The 23,096-nt window shown below is 37.7% G+C and overlaps 1 annotated feature.

Annotated features, from left to right (window-relative positions):
• Positions 7,511 to 7,680: an enhancer, noted in NCBI's record as "experimental_47754 CRE fragment used in MPRA reporter constructs". NCBI's record gives its function as "activates a minimal promoter by MPRAs in K562 erythroleukemia cells, with activity observed for both the introgressed and non-introgressed 18:1945194 variant alleles {active_cell/tissue: K562}" and the evidence as "EXISTENCE:reporter gene assay evidence [ECO:0000049][PMID:34662402]".

Genomic DNA, 23,096 nt, shown 5'->3' with positions numbered 1-23,096 from the left:
TCCACCCCAGAGTGACCATGGGAAGCATGTAACATGCTTGCTTGCGTATTATGCGTGTGCACATGCCTGTCTTTGTGAATATTCATAGCTCGAGCCCTGTAGCCTGCTGAATATGTATACTTGGCCAAGCCGTTCAGCATAAATTCCTGTCCAGCATAAATTCAGCATAAATTCTGCTTTCCAGCTCTCAGGATGGCCAGCCTACATGCTGCAACCCTTTATGAGAAATAAAGCTCTCTCCTCCAAATTTATGAATCTTGAGATTATTTGATTGACAAGGGCGATGAATGTGTTCATTATCTTGATTGTGGTGATGAGTTTACTTGTGTATGCATGTTACAACTGTTAAACTGCCCTTCAAATAAGTACAGTGTATTGTATGTCAATTAGACCATAATAAAACTGTTTAAAAACATAATGAAAGGGAAAGAAAGAAGGAAGGAAGGAAGAAGGAAGGAAGGAAAGAAACAAAGAAAAACAAAGAAAGAAAGAAAGAAAGAAAGAGAAAGACAGAAAGAAAGAGAAAGAAAGAAAGAAAAGAAAGACAGATAAAAGAGAGAGAGGGAGGGAGGGAGAGAGAAAGAAATACATGTTGATGTAACTATTACCCTTCAGTAGTTTGGTTATTACTTAATCAAGTTCTTTTGAGTGTTAGTATTTAAATGTTTAGAAAATATCTTAGTCTTCTTACTTAAAACTCCTACATAAAAGTAATCGTTCTAAAAACAGAAACTCAATCTTGTGTGAAGGAATTTTATTCATGGTTTTGTGACTACTTTGGAAGGGCTTCTATTGATAATGTTTAGGATGAATGAGAAAGAAATTTAATCAAGAATTAATTTTTTAGCTTGCTTTGGAAAATGTTTCCCAAGACAAATACAGCTTCTAGGTTTTCCTTCCCAATTGCACTGACAGACATCCAATTTTGTCTTTTCTCCTTATAATAATATGATAAAATTATTCTTTTAAATAATGTAATAATTCATTATAAAGCATTCTACATCATTTTATTTTAAAATAATCACAACCATTCATAAAGTTAGTGTTAAATGCTTGTCTTTATGATTTTATAATTTTCTATCCTAAAACTTAATACATTTTTATAGAAACAGCCTTGCATTTCACAGTATTAATACATCATTGCTAGCATGTGGGGTGGAAGAATCTCTCCTGCTCACTGTGTTCTCATACTGTGCCATGTTTAGTATTTTCTGATAAGACCATTAGATGTAAAGTAAAGAGTGAGATGTTGATTAAATTATTCATTCCTTAGTTTTTTCCTACTCTTCCTGGAGTGCATTATAATGCTAGCAAAACAGACCATCTCTTTTTTCTGTTTCTTCCTGTTCTTCCTATTCTACATTGATTGAATGATGTACAGAGACATACACAATTTTACACCATATTTTGTATTTAAAAAATGACTTTTATATGACAAAAAGGTGGATGGCTAAACTTTACCACCCAGTATGTAGTCTTTGAAGCTAATTAAAATCTGGTGGCTTGAGTTACTTGTGGGACCCTACAGTGATGGAAATTGCTTGTTTCAGTGCTATTGACTGACAGAACAGGTGATAACTTGTTTTCATCCTTTGAACAAGTTCATTAGTTTCCTATGATGGCTGTTTCGGGTAAATACTCCAACATTTAATTAGCAGACCGTCTTTGGTGAACCCATAAACAATTATAGAACCTTTTCTCTCCTGTTTGTATTCAGGACTCAGATGTTTTTTATGGCCTGTCTGACTCATCTTCAGTCGATAGTTGTATGCCCGACAGATGCCATTAACAACTACTAAAGCAGTTGCCTATATATTTTTCCATGATCTAAAAATAAGATTCCATCAATCTTGAAGATTAACAGCCTGAATAGCAAAAGTTTTAAGCTTCTTCAATCCAAGTCTTCCAGTTGACATCACTTAATCTAAATAATCTACATCACTACTTCATACATTGAAATGACTTGTCAATGTTGAAAATTTCTGTGCTGAGCTCATACAAGTGTTACATTGACAATAACCTGTGCAAGTGAACATTCAGTGTCAACATATATTGAGTACCAGCCATGAGCTTGTTCCTAAGGATACAAGGAGTTCTCAAGACCTAGTTTCTGTCTTAAAATAATTTTTAATACAGTAGAAGAAACAGATAAGCATTCAACCATATTACATTTTTAAAATTTAAGGTTAATATGATGAGATTCAGAGAAGCAAGACTCAGGAATATTTGCACATTGGACAGTAGGACTTTGAGGTAGTTTCTGTTACCACTTGTAAAGGGGGGAAGTAAAGAAGAGAACATCATAACATTGAAAACAGGTCTTGAAGACAGAAGATACCAGTTTTTAAAAAATACTGCTTTGTCACATATGTTTATTGTGGCACTGTTCACAATAGCAAAGACATGGAACCAACCCAAAAGCCCATCAATGATAGACTGGATTAAGAAAATATGGCACATATACACCATGGAATACTATGCAGCCATAAAAAGGATGAGTTCATGTCCTTTGCGGGGACATGGATGAAGCTGCAAACCATCATTCACAGCAAACTAACACAAGAACAGAAAACCAAACACTGCGTGTTCTCACTCATAAGTGGGAGTTGAACAATGAGAACACATGGACACAGGGAGGGAAACATCACACACTGGGGCTTGTTGGGGGGTGGGGGGATAGGGGAGGGATAGCATTAGGAGAAACACCTAATGTAGATGACGGGTTGATGGGTGCAGCAAACCACCATGGCACGTGTATACCTATGTAACAAACCTGCACGTTCTGCACATGTACCCCACAACTTAAAGTATAGTTAAAAAAAAATAGTGCTTTGTGTGAATATCTGGTAAGATGGAGATATCTGTAAAGAGGATGTTAGGAAAGGTTTTGTTAAAATGCTTTCCCTTAAAAAGTGGAAACCTACGATAAATATCTAAATTATTACTCAAGGCTTTTTTTTTTTGGTTGGACTTATTTTTCTCTGGAATGGTTACTATACCCAGATTAACCACTTGATTTAGCTTTATTAGGTGTACATTTTAGAAAGCATCATGTTCTATTTTAGACATAAGGTAAAGATTCAGTGACCTTTTGAAACAATCATTACTCTAGAACTGAACTGAAAGCCCACCTTTGCAATGACCACTCAAATGTTGAAATTAAAGTGCAAGAAATTAGATATTCATAGGACAAAAAGTGCAGCTAGTTTTCCTAAATCTGGAAGAGGACTCTCTGGGATTAGAATTACAAAGTTTGGAAGAATTTGCTCTTCAAGACTGGATTTTAGCTAGGCATGGTGGCTCATGCCTGTAATCTCAGCACTTTGGGAGGCCCAGGTGGAAGGATCACTTAAGCCCAGAAGTTCCAGACCAGCCCAGGCAACATAGTAGGACCCTGTCTCAAAAAAAAAAAAAAAAAGAAGAAGAAGAAGCCGTATATGCATACATGGTGACATGTGCCTGTAGTCCCAGCTACTCTGGGTGACAGAGCAAGACTCTGTCTCAAAAAAAAAAAAAAGACTGGGTTTTATTAAAAGCATAACTAAATTTATTCAAAATTATGTCAACTCACTAAATTATGGAAGGTTAAGCAGCTCCTTTATGAAGTTGTAAACTGAAAAGTGTTTTTTATGCAATAATCTTAGACTCAAAATTCCCTAACAAATTAAGTCTTTCTTGGAGAGAGAGAAAAGGACAATGGTTCAGTTGAAGAATTTTATTTTCTAAGTCATTAGCACCTGAATCTTCAGGGACTTGGCAACTCCTGGGAGATTCTAAGACAATTAGGATTTGGGATTTGAGGTATGGGTTATTTGCTACTGGAGTAAAACAAGACTGCCAGAGGACTTTAAAGCAGCTGTCTCAAATTCAATTCCAACATTGGTCAACATAAATTAATGCAGCAGGCAGGTGTTTCAAGACATAAAACTGAAAAGTACAGGTCCTATCTCTCTAAGGAGTTCAGCCACCATTTGGGTCTTGTGGACTATTACTGCCATGCGGGAGCTAGTGCCTAATTTTTGCCATATCTTCTAAATTTCAGAGAGCAACTGAAATACAGCATTTAAAAAATATCAAATTCCTCAATTTCAAAATATTATATGCCAAAAATGTCACCAATTTTTAGCATACTGTGGATAATCATTATTAAAACCCAAAGGACATCTGTAGGCCAAGTCTTTCAGAAAATTAGTATATACAGTCAATAACCTTTGTTGGAAGATTCCATATTGCAAATTCATCTACTTGCTAAAATTTTGAAACCTCAGAGTCAATACTGTGACACTTTCACTGTTATTTGTGGATATGCACAGAGTAGCAAAAAATTTTAGTTGCCTGAGGCATGTCTTCCCAGATGAGGCTGAACAAATCAACACTCTACTTCCTTGTTTCAATTCTTGTGCTGTAAAGTGCAAGAAGACTGCAATGTGCCTTATGGAGAAAACACCAGTGCTAGAGAAACTTTATTTGGGCACACCATGAGATATAGTGCCTTTGTGTGTTCAGTGTTGATAAATCAACAATATATATTGATATGGTTTGGCTGTGTCCCCACCCAAAATCTCATCTTGAATTGTAATCCCCATAATCCCTATGTGTCAAGGGAGAGAACAGGTGGAGGTAATTGAATCATGGGGGCAGTTCCCACATGCTGTTCTCATGATAGTGAGTGAATTCTCATGAGATCTGATGGTTGTATAAGAGCCTCTTCCCCCTTGATTCATTCACTCTTTCTCCCTCCCACCACTTTGTGAAGAAGGTGCCTTGCTTCCCCTTTGCATTCTGCTATGATTGTAAGTTTCCTGAGGCCTCCCCAGTCATGCAGAACTGTGAGTGAATTAAACCTCTTTCCTTTCTAAATTACCCAGTTTTGGGCAGTTCTTTATAGCAGTGTGAGGATGGACTAATATGTATATTAAATATACATATTATGTCTTTAAACAGAAACACATAAGTTTATATATTGACTGGTTTACAAATATGTTGTGACCAGAAGCTTGCAGGACCCTAGCACTGTATTTCCTCAAGGAGCAATGGAACAGTATTGCTAATTCAGTACTTGTGGTGACTTTTAAGAACATAACTACTGCAAATAATAAGAATCAACTGTAATCTTTTGTTATAGTCACGAGTTACTAAACAAAGCCAAGCTTTATCAAATACTCAGAGTCTCAGTTGGTAAAGCAAGTTGGGACTGAGGAATAACGGATCAACAAGTAAAGCTCTGAATGAGATGCCTGGCAGAGTGGGGAGCTCCGAGTGATCCAAATGCCCCTCACACTCCCAAAGATGTTTCTCCTTATACACATGGTACTGCTGAGAGTGAGGGAGAAAATATTTGCTCAGTCACCTATGAGGAAATCCCCAGAGCTAGCCCAGCACTCAAGTCAGAGATTACCCCTTCTAATTCACTTCCAGAGCAACTGAATTGGTAAGAGGTAGGACCACTATGACTACCTGGGTATTAAGTCTCTGGCATTCCCAGTTCCCATAAGTACATTGAGAATTGAGACATCTTCACATCATTGCACTCGTGAGGTAATGAAGGTATTTGTGGACTAACCACTCTGACAAAGAAGAAGACAGGGTGAATCTTCTACCTTGTTTCCAAACTGATGATATAGACATGGAGGAGCTGGATTGAAATTGAATTCTAACAATAATGAGTTTGTTCCTGTGGACACTGCGAATACCTCAATTGCAAGGTTTATTAGAAGAAGCTTTATGATTGTAGCCAGGCAGACAGATGCACCCCATCAACAGGGAGAGGATTAAACCAACAGAGAGAGGATTCAATTAGCATGCAAAGAAGAAAGGGGAGTTTGGTAGTCAGTCAGAAAAGGCTGAGATGCCTCAAATCAATATTGAGGTTCCTATTTTTACCTGTTCATCTGACTTAGAGTTATGCAATAGCTTTGTTAGGCTGTCAAACAGATTTTTCAGAGGGAAGAGATAACAGAATGGATAAAATGAATGATTTTACTCTGCAAGCTTCCAGACTCCTCCTCTTAAGAAGCAGGCAGATCAGAAATAAATTATATTTCTTGGGGGACTTCCCATGGAAGAGAGGATTGCATGTTAGAAAATCAGGGCTTTAGAAATGGGTGATGAATGAGTGGATGTGAGGAGGAAGGGAGGGAAGGAGCATGAAAACTGGGGAGCAGCATAGCAAGAATTAGAATATGGAGAGCATAGGAGAGATTTCTAGTAGCTGCCATAGAGAAAACTGTAATTAGATGTTAAAAACCATAAATTACTTACTCCTAATTCATCAGTTCAGTCTTACTTATGTCAATAATTAAATCAGTATCATTCAGCTCCATTTGAATAACCATGAAAACACCTGCTTGATTTAAGTTCTATTCTGCAGACATCTCTATCACTGTTTTTTGTTTGTTTGTTTGCTTGTTTGTTTTTGAGATAGGGTTTCACTCTGTTGCCCAGGTTGGAGTGCAGTGTTGCAATCACAGCTCACTGTAGCCTTGACCTCCTGGGCTCAAGCCATCCTCCCACCTCAGCCTCCTGAGTAGCTGGGATTACAGGTGCACACCACCATGCCTGGCTAAGTTTTGTATTTTTCATAGAGATGGGGTTTTGCCATGTTGCCTAGGCTTATCACTGTTACTTTAAAACTCCTCTTTAAATCCCACAATGCAATATTTGTTTCCAGCCTCTTGTCTTGCCTTAATTATATCCTTTGGTTTATCAAGGATTTGTCTCTTGTTCTACCAAGCAACGACTCACACCTATAAGCCAAGGCATGCATAATAGAGGTAAAATTCTGTGGACAGTATCCCTTGCCTTATGATGTGAGCAGGGTCCTCTTCAGAGCCCATTTTTCCTTGGCATTTCAGAGTCACCGATTGAGAAATGACGGTTTGAGAACATCTAAACAATTCACTCCAACATTTTATTTGGCTTCTTGAAGCGGAAGAGACTTCAGAACAGTTGCTCACATTGTTGACTTTGTTATATTTCAGATTTGCTGGGTGGAATACACATGAGACACATGAGACTGCTTCCCATGGGAAGCTACACACATGAGATTTGATTCTGGCTACAAACTGGGTCAATTACCTCTCCCATGCTTCTCCTCCTGTCAAGCTATGCTAGTAGTAATAATAATGTAAGGTCTGCAATGAATTCACTCATAGGTTTTTTTTTTTTTTTTTTTTTTTTGAGGCAGTGTCTCACTCTGTCACCCAGGCTGGAGTGTAATGGTGTGATTAAGGCTCACCTCCTGCGCTTGACCTCCTAGGCTCAAGCAACCCACCCTATAATTATTTTTATGTTACGTGCATCTTCTATTCTTATCTTCTTCCTACTTTTGCTTTTCTTCCAAACTTATATTACTATAGCCTCTAAAACAAACAATTCATTATAAATGTATACACTTAATTTCTTAATCCTCCTCTGAGCTTTTCAACCCTTTGGTAGAAAGGAAACCCTGTGGTTCCTCAAGGCACAACCTCCTGGGTGGCCTGCACTCTCAATTTTGGGCTTATATTAACTCCATATTCCATATACTACTGAACCAAGTAGCAGCCATTTTCACAGTATTCCACTGTGGCCCTTAGGTGGTATTAATCCTCCTTCAAGCAAAACCTTAGCCTTTTTTGAGGCTATGCCCTGCAACCGTACTACCATCATACACTCTTTATTTTTGTCATCTGAGTTGATTACTATTTTCAGAAATTATTGAAGCTCTCGGCCTTTGGCTCCTACTCTTCCTCCATAGAGTAACCACTGCTTTCCTCCTCTCTACTCCATGCCCTCTACTCATCCTGTGATATTTCAAACTCAAAGTGGCTAATATGGCTAAACTGTAGCTTCAAAGTTTTGTGACTTCCTCAATATATGCTATTGTATCTTGTTTAAGAAATCTTTCCCAAAGTTATAGAAATTTTTCTTCTATTGTCTTGTAAAATTTTATAATTTTGCCTTTCACACTTAGACCTTAATTCCACTGGAATTGAATTTCAGGTATTATAAGAAGCAGGGACCTAACTTTGTGTTGTTCTATGGTAGATTCCTAATTTCTGCCACATTTATTGAAAAGTAGATATTTCTTCAAAGATCTGGATTTCCAGCTATGTGATAAAGCAAATTTCATTCTTTATGGGTAGATTTCTTTCTGAGATTTTGGTTTTTATTCTATTGTCCAATTTGTTTATCCTTGTGCTTATACTATACTAGCTTAATTATAGCTTCATAGATATTATTGATATATGTTAAGGCAATTCTCATTATGTTCTTTTGCAAATTTTTTGTGGGGGCAATTTTAGGCCCTTTAATCTACCATATCAATTTTAAAGTCAGCTTGCCAGGCTTCATAAACACTCTGTTGGGATTTTATTGGAATGGCATTGAAACTATAGATCAATTTTCGGAGAACTGATGTCTTTATTATACTGAGACTTGCAATCTATAAACATGGCATATTTCTCCTTTTATTTAGGCTCTCTTAAATGTCTGCCAATAAAGTTTTATGATTTTCTCTGTAGAATTCTAGAAATCTTCTGTTTGACAAATTCCTGTGTAGTTTAGTCTCTGATATTACCTATGATAAATGGTAATTTTAAATTTCATTTTCTAAATCTTTATTCTTGGCATATAGATACACAATTAATTTTTGTGTATTAATTTTAATCCAGATAATTTCATATACTTAAACATGACTGAGGATATACTGGGTCTGATATCCTGACTCATGTAGATTCCTTTGCAGAAAATGACATTATTATTTTTTCCTTTCCTAATTTTGTAATGTTTATTTCTTTTTTGGTCTTCATGTGCTACCGGGATCCCCAGTATAATATTTATTAGAACCTGTGATAGTTCATCTACTTGCCTTGTTCCTTAAATTAAAAAAATTCTTTTGAATTTTGCACCCTTAAATAAAATGTATATTTTAGGTTTTGTATAGTTATTTTTTATCAGCATAAGCCTCTTACGTTCCATTGCTGCTTTCCTAAGAATTTTTACTATATTGTACAGCAAAAGAAGCAATCAACACAATGAAAAGCCAACCTACTGATTGGGAAAAAATATTTGCAAGCCATACATCTGATAAGGGATTAATATCTAACATTTATAAAGAACTCTTACAACTGAAAAAAAATGAACAAACAAATGATTAAAAAATGAAGGAACAAAGGACCTGAATAGACATTTCTCTGAAGAAGACATAAAAATGGCCCACAAATATATTAAAAAATGTACCACCTCACAAATCATCAGGAAAATGCAATTAAAACCACAATGAGATATTGCCTCTCACCCATTAGGTTGACTATAATCAAAAAGACAATAGATAAGTACTGGTTGAGGGTATAAAGTAAAAAAAACCATTGTACACTGTTAGTGGGAGTGTAGATTGGTGCAGTGATTATGGAAAACAGTATGGAATTATGTTAGTTCATTTTGTGTTGCTGTAAAGAATACCTGAGGCTGGGTAATTTATAAAGAAGAGAGGTTTATTTGGTGGCAGGTTCTGCAAGCTGTCCAAGAAGCATGGCATCAGCATCTGCTTGGCTCCTGGTAAGGCCTCAGGAAGCTTTTACTTATGCAGAAGGCAAGGGGGGAGTAACTGTGTCACATAGTGAGAGAGGGAGCAAGATGAGGGCAGAGATGGCAGGATCTTTTTAACAATCAGATCTCATGGTGACTAATGGAGTGAGAACTCACTTATTACTGTGAGGACAGCAACAAACCATTCATGAAGGATCCACCACCATGACCCAAACGCTTCTTGCTATGCCCAACTCCAACATTTGAGATCGAATTTTAACATGAGATTTGGAGGAGACACACATTCAAATCATATCAGTTTACCCCTGACCCCCCAATCTCATGTGCTTTTCACATTCAAAATACAATCATCCCTTCCCAATAGTCCTCCAATGTCTTAACTCCTTCCAGCATCAACTCAAAAGTCCAAAGTCCAAAGTCTCATTTAAGACTTGAGGACTAAGCTCTGATTTTTTATCTTACACAAATTTCTACCATTAGGAATAGGTCTAGGGAGTCATGCCCTACAAGCCACACATTCTCATCAGATGGGTTTTATTTGACCCTATATATTGTGACTTACTTTTCAACCTGACTCTGGAATAACATTATGAGACAAGGAAAAAAAAATTTAACCCCAAAATATATTTCCTTGCCATATCTTGAAATTGCCCTGCAAAGTCTCTTGTGGGAAAAAATCCACATTCTATACAGAACCTCCTTGTCCCTTTTTCTTCCTTCCTTCCCAGATACGGGAGATAATCAACTAAGAGCCAGGCATCCTTTTAAGTGCAATAAAAAACAATTTACAACCTGCTCTCTTTAAAGTCTGCTATCTAAGAGCTTCCTCTGCACAATAAAACTTTGTCTCCACAATCCTTGATCTTAAACCTGAATATTCTTTTCTACTGACCCCAGGTCTTTAGAGAAACTCAACCAATTGTGAACCAGAAAATGTTTATATTTACCTATAGGCTGGAAGCCCCTGCTTTGAGTTGTCCCACCTTTCTAAACCAAACCAATGTATTTCTTGAATGTATTTGATTGATGTCTCATGCCTTCCTAAAATATATAGAACCAAGCTGCACCCCAACCACCTTGAGCACATATTCTCAGGAACTCCTGAGGGCTGTGTCACAGACCATGGTCGCTCATATTTGGCTCAGAATAAATCTCTTCAAATATTTTACAGTTTGACTCTTTTCATTGACAGACTCAAGGCAAGTTCCTTCCACCTATAAGCCTGTAAAACTAAAAACAAGTTATTTACTTCTAAGGTACAATGGTGGTACGGGTATTGGGTAAACGTTCTCATTCCAAAAGAAAGATATCAGCCAAAAGAAAGGGGCGATAGTTCCCATGCAAGTTTGAAACCCAACAGGGCAGAAATTAAACCTTAAAGCTACAAAACAATCTTTCTTGGCTCCATGTTCTGTATCCTGGTGTGAGGGGCGGGCTCCTGAGACCTCAGATAGCCCTGCCCCCATGGCTTTGCTGGGTTCAGCACACATGGCTGCATTTATGAGTTGGGGTCTGGTGCCTGCAGCTTTTCCAGGCTGAGGGGGGCAAGTTGCCCGTGACTCTACCATTCTGGGATCTGGGAGGACAGCAGCACCATTCCCACAGCTTCAATAGGCAGTTTCCCTGTGGGTATTCTGTGTGGAGACTCTAATTCCACACTTTCCCTTGGCACTGCCCTAGTAGAGGCTCTCTGTTGGGGCTCTGCCATTGTGGAAGGTTTCTGTGTAGCCACTGAGGCTTTCCCATACGTCCTCTGAAATCTAGGTAGAAGTTGTGAAGCCTCCTTCACTTGTACAGTCTGTGTATCTGTAGGCTTAACACCATATGGAAGCAGCCAAGGCTTAGTGGTACCCCCAGGCAGTACTGGTGGCCATTTGAGCTGTGGCTGTAGCTGTAGCAGCCAAGATGCAGGGAACATCCTGAAGAGGCACAGGACAGTGGGGCCTTGGGCCTGGTCCCCAGATCCATTCCATTCTCCTAGGCCCCTTGGCCTGCGATGGGAAGGGCTATCTTGAAGACTTCTGAAATGCTTTTGAGGCCTCTTTCTCATTGTCTTGGCTGTTAGTACCTGGCTGCCTTTCAGTCATGCTAATCTCTGTAGCAAGTGCTTGCTCCACAGCACAGCCCACTTGTGTTCCTCTTCTGAAAATGCTCTTTCCTTTTCTACCACACAGCCACATCGGTAATTTTCCAAATGTTTAGGCTCTGCTTCCCATTTAATTTGAAGTTCCAACTTTAAGTCCCTCCTTTGCTACCATATCTGATTACAGACTGTTAGAAGCAGCCATGCCATTTCTTTTTTTTTTTTTTTTTTGAGATGGAGTCTTGCTCTGTCACCCAGGCTGGAGTGCAGTGGCGCGCTCTCGGCTCACTGGCCGTGCCATTTCTTGAATGTTTTGCCACTTAGAAATTTTTTCCACCGGATACCCTAGGTCATTATTCTTAAGTTCAACCTGCCACAGAGCCCTAGGACATGAACACAATGCAGCCAAGTTCTTTGCTAGGGTATAACAAGGATAACCTTTGCTCCAGTTCCCAATAAGTTCCTTATTTCCATCTGACACCTCTTCAGCCTGACCTTCACTATCTATATTTGTGTCAGTATTTTGGTCACAACCACTTAACAAGTTTCTAAGGAGTTCCAAAATTTCCCTCATCTTCCTTTCTTCCTTTGAGGCCTCCTAACTCTTTCAATCTCTGCCTATTATGCAGTTCCAAAGCCTTTCCACATTTTCAGGTATCTTTACATTAATGCCCCACTCCCAGTACCAATTTTCTGTATTAGTCCATTTTTTATCGCTGTAAAGAAATATCTGAGGCTGGGTAATTTATAAAGAAAGGAGGTTTATTGGGCTCACAGTTCATGCTGTACAAGAAGCATGGCACCAGCGTCTGCTTGGCTTCTGGTGAGGCTTCAAGAAGCTTTTACTCATGGCAGAAGGCAAAGGGGGAGCAGGCATGTCACATGGTAAGAGAAAGAGCAAGAGAGCTGGGGGAGGTGCCAGGCTCTTTTTAACAATTAAATCTGGTGGTAACTAATAGAATGAGAACTCACTCATTCCTGTGAGGACAGCACCAAGCCATTCATGAGGAATCTACTCCGATGACCCAAACACCTCTCACCAGGCCCCAACTCCAACATTGGAGATCAAATTTCAACATGGGATTTGGAGAGCACATACATCCAAACAGTATCAAGAGGCTTCTAAAGAAATTAAAAGTAGAACAACCATATGAGCCAGCAATCGTTCTGCTGGATATACACCCAAAGGAAAGGAAATCACAACCTTCTAAAGATATCTGCACTTCTATGTTCATTGCAACAGTAGTCATAATAGCCAAGATATGGAAACAACCTGAGTGTCTATCAATGGTCAAATAAATAAAAAAAAAAAAACTGTGATACACACACACACACAACACACACATAACACACACAATGGAGCATTATTCAGCCTTAAAATTGAAATCCTGCCATTTGCCATGAATGAACCTGGAGGACATTGTGTTAACCAAAATCAGCCAGACACAGAAAGAAATATATTACAAGTTCACTTATATGTAGAACCTTAAAAAAAAAATTTAAATGTCCAGAGATAGAAAATAAAGCAGTGGTTACCAGGGGGTGTGGTCAGGGCAGGAAAATAATGCAAAATAGCAGATATGTAGGGAGGGACAAGTCTAGAGACCTAATGTACAAGAACTATGGTTAGTAACATTATATTGCATTTGGGATTTTTGCTAAATGAATAGATTTTAGCTGCTTTTTCTATAGAAAAAAGGTTACCATGTGAAATGATGGATATGTTAATTTGCTTCACTCTAGTAACCATTTTTTATTATCTATATGTATCTCATAACATCACATTGTATACCTTAAATTTATACAATAAAATTTATAAAAAGGAGTTTTTAATTACAAATGATGTAATATTCCTTCCTTTTTAAAATATGTAAATGGAATGAAGTACATTAATAGAATTTCTGGTGTTGACCTGTTCTTATATCCTTGAGTCAAGAGGTATTATTGGCTTACATATTGTTGGATTTGTTTGCTAATTTATACAGTTGTTAGAATTTTTCATCTATGCTTGTGAGTGAGGTTGAAAAGCAACTTTCCTTTTTCTTAGTGTCTGTACATTAAGAGAAAGATTTTGGTATTAAGATTATTCTATACTGAAAAACGACATGTAGAGTCTTTTCCACGCACTGGGATAATATTTGTGTAAGTTGGAATTATTCAGGTTTTCTCTTTCATAATATCCATGACTTTTGAAGTTATGTATTTTCAAAACTAGAATATATAGATATTTATTTCATCTAAGTTTTCAATTTTATTGTTATAAAATGTTTACAAATTCTACTTCAATGTTATTAGTGTGTTTATGTATGAGTTATATTCCTTTTATTGCTTAATAATGTTCATTTGTTTTCTCTCTGCTTCTTCTCTTTCTCTCTTTCTTGCTCTCTCAAGACACACCAGAGATTCGTAAATTTTATTAGTTTTTATTATGGAACTGACTATTGTCTTTGGAAATTTTATTTATTCTATGCTTATTTTCTGTTAATCTAATGACCATAAAATACAAATGTATACACAGGATATTTACATCCTAACTTGCATTTCCATTTTCTTTTTGGTGTACTTTGAGGAATAGCTTCTAACAAATTAGATTCAGTTAATTTTATCAATCATTTTGGAGATTTTCGTCCTTGTTACCTAGGTAAGAAACCTTTGCTTACTGTAAGATTGAAAGATTTTTTTCCTAGGTGTTCTTTTAAAAGTTATGGATTTTAGCTTTTGTGTTAGGTGTATGATTTATTTTGAGTTAATTTTTGTGTATGTAGTTAGATGAGGGTCAATGTTTATTGTTCTCTATATGGATCACTATTTGTTGAAAAGACTATTATTTCCCAACTCCAAAAAGGCATTGATAACTTTATAGTAAATCAATTGACCGTACATGTCTATTTGTGGTCTCATTATAGTGTTCTATTGATTTATACACTTATCCTTTTAGAAACACTGTGCAGTCTTGATTACACCAATTTTAAATGTATCATTAAAAGTGGAGTCCAATACATGCAGCCAACAAGCGTATTTTAAAAAGCTTGACATCACGGATCATTAGAGAAATGCAAATAAAAACCACAATGAGATCCCGTCTCACATCAGTCAGAATGGCGATTGTTAAAAAGGTAGGAAACAACAATAGGAATAGGAATGCCTTTACACTGTTGGTGGGAGTGTAAATTCGTTCAACCATTGTGTAAGACAGTATGACAATTCCTCAAAGACCTAGAGAGAGAAATACCATTCTTACCCAGCAATGTCATTACTGGATATATACTCAAAGGAATATAAACATTCTATTATAAAGACACATACATGCATATGTTCACTGCAGCACTATTCATGACAGCAAAGACATGGAGTCAATCTAAATGCTCACCAACTAGACTGGATAATGTGGTACATATACAACATAAAATGTGGTACATATACAACATAAAATCCTATGCAGCCATAAAAAGGAATGAGATCATATCCTTTGCAGGGGCATGGATGGAGCTGGAGACCATTATCCTTAGCATACTAGTACAGGAACAGAAAACCAAATACCATATGCTCTCACTTATAAGTGGGAACTAAATGACGGGAACACATGGATACATGGTGTAGGGGAACAACACACACTGGAGCCTGTCAGAGGTTGCGGGCTGGGAGGATGCAGAGGATCAGGAAAAATAGCTAGTGGATGCTGGGATTAATACCTGGGTGATGGGATGATCTGTGTGGCAAACCACTATGGCACACGTTTACCTGGGTAACAAACCTGCACATCCTGCTCATGTACCCCTGGACTTAAAATAAAGGTTGGAAATAAAAAAAAAAATTAAAGTGGGGTCAAATTTTATTTCTCCTTTCTAAAATTTACTTTGCTATTTTATATCTTTTGCATTTCAGTTTAAATTTTAGAATTAATTTGTTGATCTCTGTGGAAAACACGACATTTTGATTAGAATTGCACTGAATCTATAGCTCGGCTTGAAAAAAAATTGAATGTTTCAAAGTATATACATGCCTGTCTACATTTTGTAGAACTACTTTATTTTTCTGAGCAACGTTCTGTCGATCTTAAGCACTTATCTTGCATTTCTCTCAAACTATTTTATATATATTTATACTATTGCAAGCTGTTTGTCCATATTTCATTTTCTAATTGATTATTACTAGTAATACTGAAATAATTTTTGTATATTAATCTTTTATCATGTGCCCTTATTAAGTTTGCTTTATTAATTCTAGTAGTGGTCTTGTAGGTGCTTTCAGATTTTCTACACACATAATTATGTAATCTGCAAAATAAGACAGTTTTACTTCTGTTTAAATCTAGATACTTTCATTTCATCTGGCCTTACTGTACTGATTGGAATTGATTTGAAAACATTCTTCTTTTCTAAAATTAGTAATTAAAGTTATACATTTTTCTTTATCATCTGCAACTCCAAATTCTTATAATGTCTTGGTCTGATTTGGTGAATGTTTCTTATGAATTTGAAGAAAAAAAGAATTCTGCCACTGCTGGATATACTTTATTAATTTCAGTTAGGTTGAATTGATTGACAGCTTTAAGTTCTTCTCTATCCATGCTGATTCCTCTTTACTTGTTCAATATTTACTTGTTCAATCAATTATTAAAAAAAGAAATAATTGAAATCCCTTGCGTTAAGTGTGGGCTTGTCTAATTGATCTTCCACATCTATTGGCTTTTGTTCTATGTAGTTTGGAGCTCTGCTATCAGCTACATTCTTAGTTAGAAGGGTTGTTATGTCTTTGATGGGTTTACCCCTTTATCATTATGACATATACATTTTTCCTAATCTCTGATAATATTTCCTGTGCTAAATTTTTCTATGTCTGATATTAATATAGCATCATTCTAATAATTAAAGTTTTCATGATATTTTTCCTATATTTTAAACTTGTTTTTGTTGTGATATTTCTGTTTGTGGTAGTAGTATCTATATTCCCCTATTTGTAATGTATTCTTTTTCCTCTGGCAGTTTTTCAGATTTTTTTTTTTCCTTTATCACAGTCATTTGTTAGTTTTTTTTTCCCCTTTTAATTATCATGTATGTTGAGTTGTGTTTCTTTTTTGTTTTTGCTTAGGGTTTGTTCAGATTTTTGGAATTCAGGTTTAAGTTTTCATCAAATTTGAAGTTTTTTGGCAATTATTTTTTAAAATGTACTTTCTATCTACTCTTTCCCTTTCTAGATCTCCAATTAAACAGATTTTGGATTGCTTGATAGTGCCTCACACATTTTCATTTTCTTAAGGCTTTCCTTTTTTTAAAGAAAACAACTGTATTTCTCTGAATGCTTTAGTTTGGATCATTTCTATTGTAGTGTCTTTAAGTTAACCAGTCATTCATTTATTCAGCCAGATCTAAACTTCAGCTAAGTCCATTTTGTGGATTTTTCACTTTAGATAATTGTTTTTTTTTTTTTTTTTAGCTCTGGGAATTATTTTTTTTTAAATATGTCCTTCCTTCATTTCCTTGTTATGTTTATTCCTTTAAAACATTACACATATTTAGTATCAGTTTCAAGTTCTTGGGTTTTACTATTGGGCCTTGTGCTGTTTCCTTCCAGGCTTTCTGCAAGCTACTCAGGTCTTGCTAGAGAGTGAGTGTTTATGCGATACCAGTTGATCATGAAGCCTAAGTTTCCTGTAATGAAGTGGATATCATTTTATCTAGCAAGCCATACACATGGGTATAAGCATTAGTGATTTATCACTAAGCGGAAAGGGCATAAGAGGCAATTGACTTAGGCAGGTATAGAAAGTACAAATAAGTTGTGAGTGGGTGACTCAGACTCCTCTATCACCAACTTCTGTTGCATTGCCTCGTCTCAATACAACCGGGAAGTATCTTTTTATTTATTTATTTATTTATTAGATTGAGTTTCTCTCTTGTCACCCAGGCTGGAGCACAATGGCACAATCTCAGCTCACTGCAACCTCTCCCTCCCAGGTTCAAACGATTCTCCAGCCTCAGCCTCCTAAGTAGCTGGGATTATAGGTGCCCACCACCACCCCTGGCTAAGTTTTTTTGTATTTTTAGTAGAGATGGGGTTTTCACTACGTTGGCCAGGCTGGTCTCGAACTCCTGACCTCAGGTGATCCACCCACCTCGGCCTCCCAAAGTGCTGGGATTACAGGCATGAGCCACCACACCCGGCCACCATACGGGAAGTATCTTATGATCAGTTGACTAAAGAAGAAAAAATTCAAAGCTTAGCTTCAGATAGGTAGGTCTGCAAGAAATGCTGATGTCAACTGAAAGAGGATGACTGCAGCGTTTTAGCCCCACTCAGAGGTGATCGTGAAGGAAAGCAGTGAAGGAAAATTTTCCCTGTGGGCAAAATTTGGATGCTTAGTTTGAAGTGAGTTGCCAGAAGTATACTGTTGGCCCTTAAGCAACAAAGGTTTAAGTGTGCAAGTCCACTTGTACAAGGATTTTCTTCTCTGCCACTGCTGAGACAGCAAAAACAATCCTTTTCCTCCTCCTCAGCTTATTCAATGTGAAGATAATGAGAATAAAGATCTTCATGATGGTTCACTTCCATTTAGTAAATGGTAAATATATTTTATCTTCCTTATGATTTTCTTAATAACTTTTTCTTTTCTCTAGCTTCCTTTATTGTCAGGACACAGTATATAATACATGTAACACACAAAATATGTGTTAATTGATTGTTTATGTTAATGATAAGGCTTTCCATCAATAGTAGGCTATTAATAGTTAAGTTTTGGGAAAGCCAAATGTTATACATGCATTTTCGACTTCATTAGTGTCTCTGCCCTTAACTCCTGTGTTGTTAAAGGGTCAACTGTGTGTCTGCAACAGTTTGAGGGCAGTTGCTAGGTCTGGTTGAATGGTCAGTGGCTTGGAAGAAACAGGATTGTGAAATGGGTGAAAAGGAAGTCTGGGGGAGAGGCATGTAGCTGGATTGCTTGGAGTTGGCACAGACTATGAAGATAGGTATGTCTCATGTGAATACCACAAAAGGGCATCTTACTAAGGAGGGGCCTGCTAATTAGAAGGACAAAATGAAGGACTCAGAGGATGTCAGTTAGCCTCTTTCATCAGCCACCCCAGTGCTTGCTCAATGGGCCCATGGACATAGTGGCCATGGTGGCAGCAATGAAGGCTGTGTATGAAATCTACAACATGGCATCCCTTTGTTGTCTGATATGTATGAAGTCTACAACATGGCATCCCTTTGTTGTCTGATTTGGCTGTTGTTACTGCTGAGTGTCTAATCTGCCAAAACAGATACTAACATTGAGCCCCTAAGATGGCACCATTGCTTGTGGGACCTGCCAGCCACCTGTAGGTAGCTGAATACATTGACCTTTCACATTATGAAGCAGGCAGACTTGTCCTCACTGGGACGAACAGGTATTCTGCATATGAATTTGCCTTCCCTGCCTGCACCACCACCTGTGAACTCACAGAATGCCCTGCCCGCAATCTTGATGGTGCTCCATATCGTGTTGCTACTCATCAAGGAATTTATATCAAAGAAAGAAAGTGACTTGGTCACAGTTTAGTTTAATGGTGACACCTTTTTCTTTGTACTCATCAAGGAATTTATATCACAGAAAGAAAGTGACTTGGTCATAGTTTAGTTTAATGGTGACCTTTTTTTCTTTCTAAATGGTTTATAAAATAATAGTCTGAAAATAATCACATATATTCTATGAACATGATGATAAATTCTCTTTACACATTTAAATGACATGTTACATTAATTAAAAATTGCCTTCCTATAATCTCTGTTAAATTGACTTTTTTCTGAGATCTACCTATATGATTCAGAGTAAATGTGGAAACTAAGGCTCAAAGAGGTTAAGTAATCAGCCCTAATGTCACCCAGCTGGATAGTGGCGGAGACAGGCCTAGAACCGATTTCCTTGTCATACAATAGTGAAATGGATTACCACCTCAAATTGCCTGGGCAAACAAACATAAGGAAAGACATCAGATTTCAGAGTTAGAAAGAACATCTTTTTGTCACTTACTTGCTTTATCTCCTTAAAGAATTCATTTAACCACTCTGGAGTTAGTCTCAATTTCCTTATATTCAGTATTAAGCGAATAGTGCCTACATTCACTATAAAGGAAATGTGCCTGGCATATAGATGGGTATGCAGTAAGTAGTTACTGGCGAGTAAAGAATGAAAAATTTTTAAACCTTCAATTTTTGGTACTATTATTGACTATAACAGAGAGTACTTCCTAAGGAATCAATGAATTCCTGACATTAGGTGCCGTCCAACTTGCTGTCCAGCACTAGAAAATGTTTCATGTGAATCATGAGCTTTATATTTTTTAAGCGTATTGTTCGGTTCAGGAAAGAGAGGAAACAACATTAGTTTCATATTTTTACATCTGTGAGCATTTTTTATGTAGGAAAGAATTTTTTCTATAATTGATGCTGGACTGTGCTTTGCTACTAAAAGAATAATTTAACCTCTACTTGGGAAACTAAATTCAGGTCTTCTCTGTTAGTTCTTTCTTTGGACGTAGACATACATATTTCAAATAGGTGGTGATATTAAAAGTAAAGTATCATTTTGCTAGATATTCACTTCATTAAAACTATACACTGACAGCCTGGATGGTCTAGGCTGGTAGTCATTTTATATTGATCAAGAAGCTTTTGTCTCCCGCGATTTCCCTTGGTACTACATATTCTGTGGCTTTTAACAGCTATAGATTGAAACAAAAATACCAAACTCTCAATACACAAGCTCTGGTCATAAAAACCATAGAAACAAAAGAACTATTATTTAGTAGTAGTATTCAATATATCAAGTGGGAAAAAAAGCTCTGTAATATGATATGAGCCCATTTTTGAAGCTCTAATCTTTAAAGCAGGTAACATATCCTTAACTTCTGTGCTGCAGGTTAAATATTTTTATAATTATTGATACAAATGTAAGCACATTTGAGTTTAACTACTTTTCTACTCCTTATCTAAATGCGTGATGTAACCTTCAAATGTGTCTTTTTTTTAACCATTTTTTGGGAGGTATAAAACAAATTAATTAAGTACAAATATATATAATTAAGGTAAAACCCATATAGAATAAATTACTTAAAAATTATTTTAATGTATTTTAGTGAATTAGTAAATACAAAAATGATAAAATAAAATTATATTACATCAAAATTATGTAGTAATATTAATTTTGTTCATGTTTATTTAATGTCATATTTTATATAAAAATGAGATAATCATTCTCAGGAGTTGGCTTCGCTGCTAACCAAAAACCATTTAATGTTTGGTTCTGTATAATAAATAGTGTGCCTCTAAGATTTTATCAACAGAAAAAGCTTTAGACTTGAAGGTGGATATTTATTTCCAGTTCTGGGGTAATAAGGACACTTGGGCAAATTATAATCTGCTTCAACCTAGTTTTCCTTTTTTTAAAAAGATGAAAGAATGAGTTTTGAGGACCCGTTTAACTCTAAAAACCAAGATACTTGATAAAAATGGATTTGATAGCTGTTCAGATCAATGTAGGAAAACTTATTCCTAGCAGCCTATCTCTGTATCCCTCGTTACCTTGTAAATTTTACGAGTGCAAGATGGCGACCCATTTATCTTAGTACGCCAGTGACAAATATGATGTCTAGTATGTATCCAGTGCTCCATAATTGCAGAATAAATAATTAATGCCATTGCATCAAAGTTAAAACCAGAAAATAGTGTTCTGTTGTGACTTGCTAAAATAAAAATCTAGAAAAAATGCACACACACACACACACACACACACTTGAACCTTGTTAGAAGACTTACAGGATAACGTGAGAAGTTTCAGATGGCAATTGTTAAGTTAAATCTTAAACACTGTGACATTATAAGTGGTGCAAACATTCAATTAAAGCTATAAAACCCAAACGTAAAAGATTGTGTGTAATTTATTTGAAGAAGCAGTGTCTTCTAGCTTGATGCAGATTCTTCTTAAATTACTAAAGAGCTTAGACCTTTAAAACTACTTGGCAAGATAGTTTTATTGCTTGCTAATCAGGCTGCACGTTTTTACAACACATTTGTATGTAAAATTGAAAAACTCAACAGCTTTTCAGATATTTGAAAAACAAAGCTCAGCTTTAGCCCTTTTCATTGATTCTCTTCTTATCCTTTCTATTTCAAGATAGTTTGTTTGCATTTAGGGTATGTGGTAACACTGGAAATAACACTAGTCTAATTTTTTCTTACAGAAAAGCTTTCATTTGGGCCTTTTATTATGAGTTTAGTCACTTTTCTTATTGCTTCACTGCTAGGGAATACATGTAATGTCTCCCTGTTCTGTGGAAAGTCAACACATCAAAATATTTGAAAGGATCAATTCAGAATTTAGTACTGCTGTCTTTTCAGGTCCCAATTCCTGTTATTAGATAGGCTGTGGTAAAGTTTTGCTGGGTACAGGGATATCAAGTGGTCCTGTCCCGGGGCCTGTGTTTGCAGTGGCAGACTGAGGGAGCCTGCCCTTGGGCCCCAGGGCAGCACACTCTGGCCCCGGCATTAGCTGGTTCAGGTGGGCTGGTTCTTGGGCCTCCTGGTGTCCTGCTCCTGTGCCAGCAGTGGCAGCAGTGGGCAGGTTCTCAAGGCCTTGGACAGTGGGTGTGGTGTGGGTGATGGCAGTAGCAGAGGCTGAACAAACCTCAGCTCCCACGCTGTCCACACTGGTGCTGGTGTTGGCTGTGATGGGCTGAGAGCCAGTTCCCAGATCACGGGCAGTGGGTGCCAGCTGTGGTGGCAGTAGCAGGTTGGGTGGGCCTGACCTCAGGCCCCTGACAGGAGTGCACAGGTGACACCAGTGGTGGACTCAACTGAGCACTGAGTGGCCCCTAGGTTCCCAGATGGGACAGCATGCTCTGGCACTGGAGGGGCTGAGCTGGCCAGGAAGACCTGACCTTAGGGCCCTCAGTGGTGCATGCAGGGGCTCTGATAGGCAGGGGCAGGGTGATCCCTAGGACCAAGGTGAAATGCAGGGGTGGGGGCAGCAGCAGCTGTGCTGCAGCCCTGCTACTCAGCGGGGTGGGGTTGTTTTCAGTGGCAGCAGCCCTAAGCAGGCAGCTGGGGAACTCACACTTTGGCCCTGGCTCTTGTAGCGGCTCCTGTGGGCAGGGGAATTTGTCCTCAGGACATGTGAAAATGCATGGCATCTTCACTGCTGGGGGCAGTGGAGTCAGTAGGGTCTTTGGAATGGCTCACGCTTCAGCCCTGGCTGCAATAGCACCAGCCAGTCACAGCAGGGGCTGCGGGCAGGGAATGTGGATGTGTGGAGGATGTGTGGGGGCAGGGCTGTTGAGCCCCCAGGCATGATGCCCTTTGGTGGGAACTGGACTCTCTGTATGCACTGTGCTATTAGGGATGGGGTTGTATCCAGCATGCCGTCCTGCGACCTCCAGGCTGTGCCCTATCTTAGTCTCTGGATGGAGGGGCTTCCCTGTGGCTAGGATTGCAGGAGCCTGTGGTG

Source organism: Homo sapiens, chromosome 18 (assembly GCF_000001405.40).
Source record: "Homo sapiens chromosome 18, GRCh38.p14 Primary Assembly".
NCBI classification, from domain to species: Eukaryota; Metazoa; Chordata; class Mammalia; order Primates; family Hominidae; genus Homo; species Homo sapiens.
The sequence above is the reverse complement of the archived record's forward strand: the minus strand, read 5'-3'. Positions and strand labels throughout refer to the sequence as shown.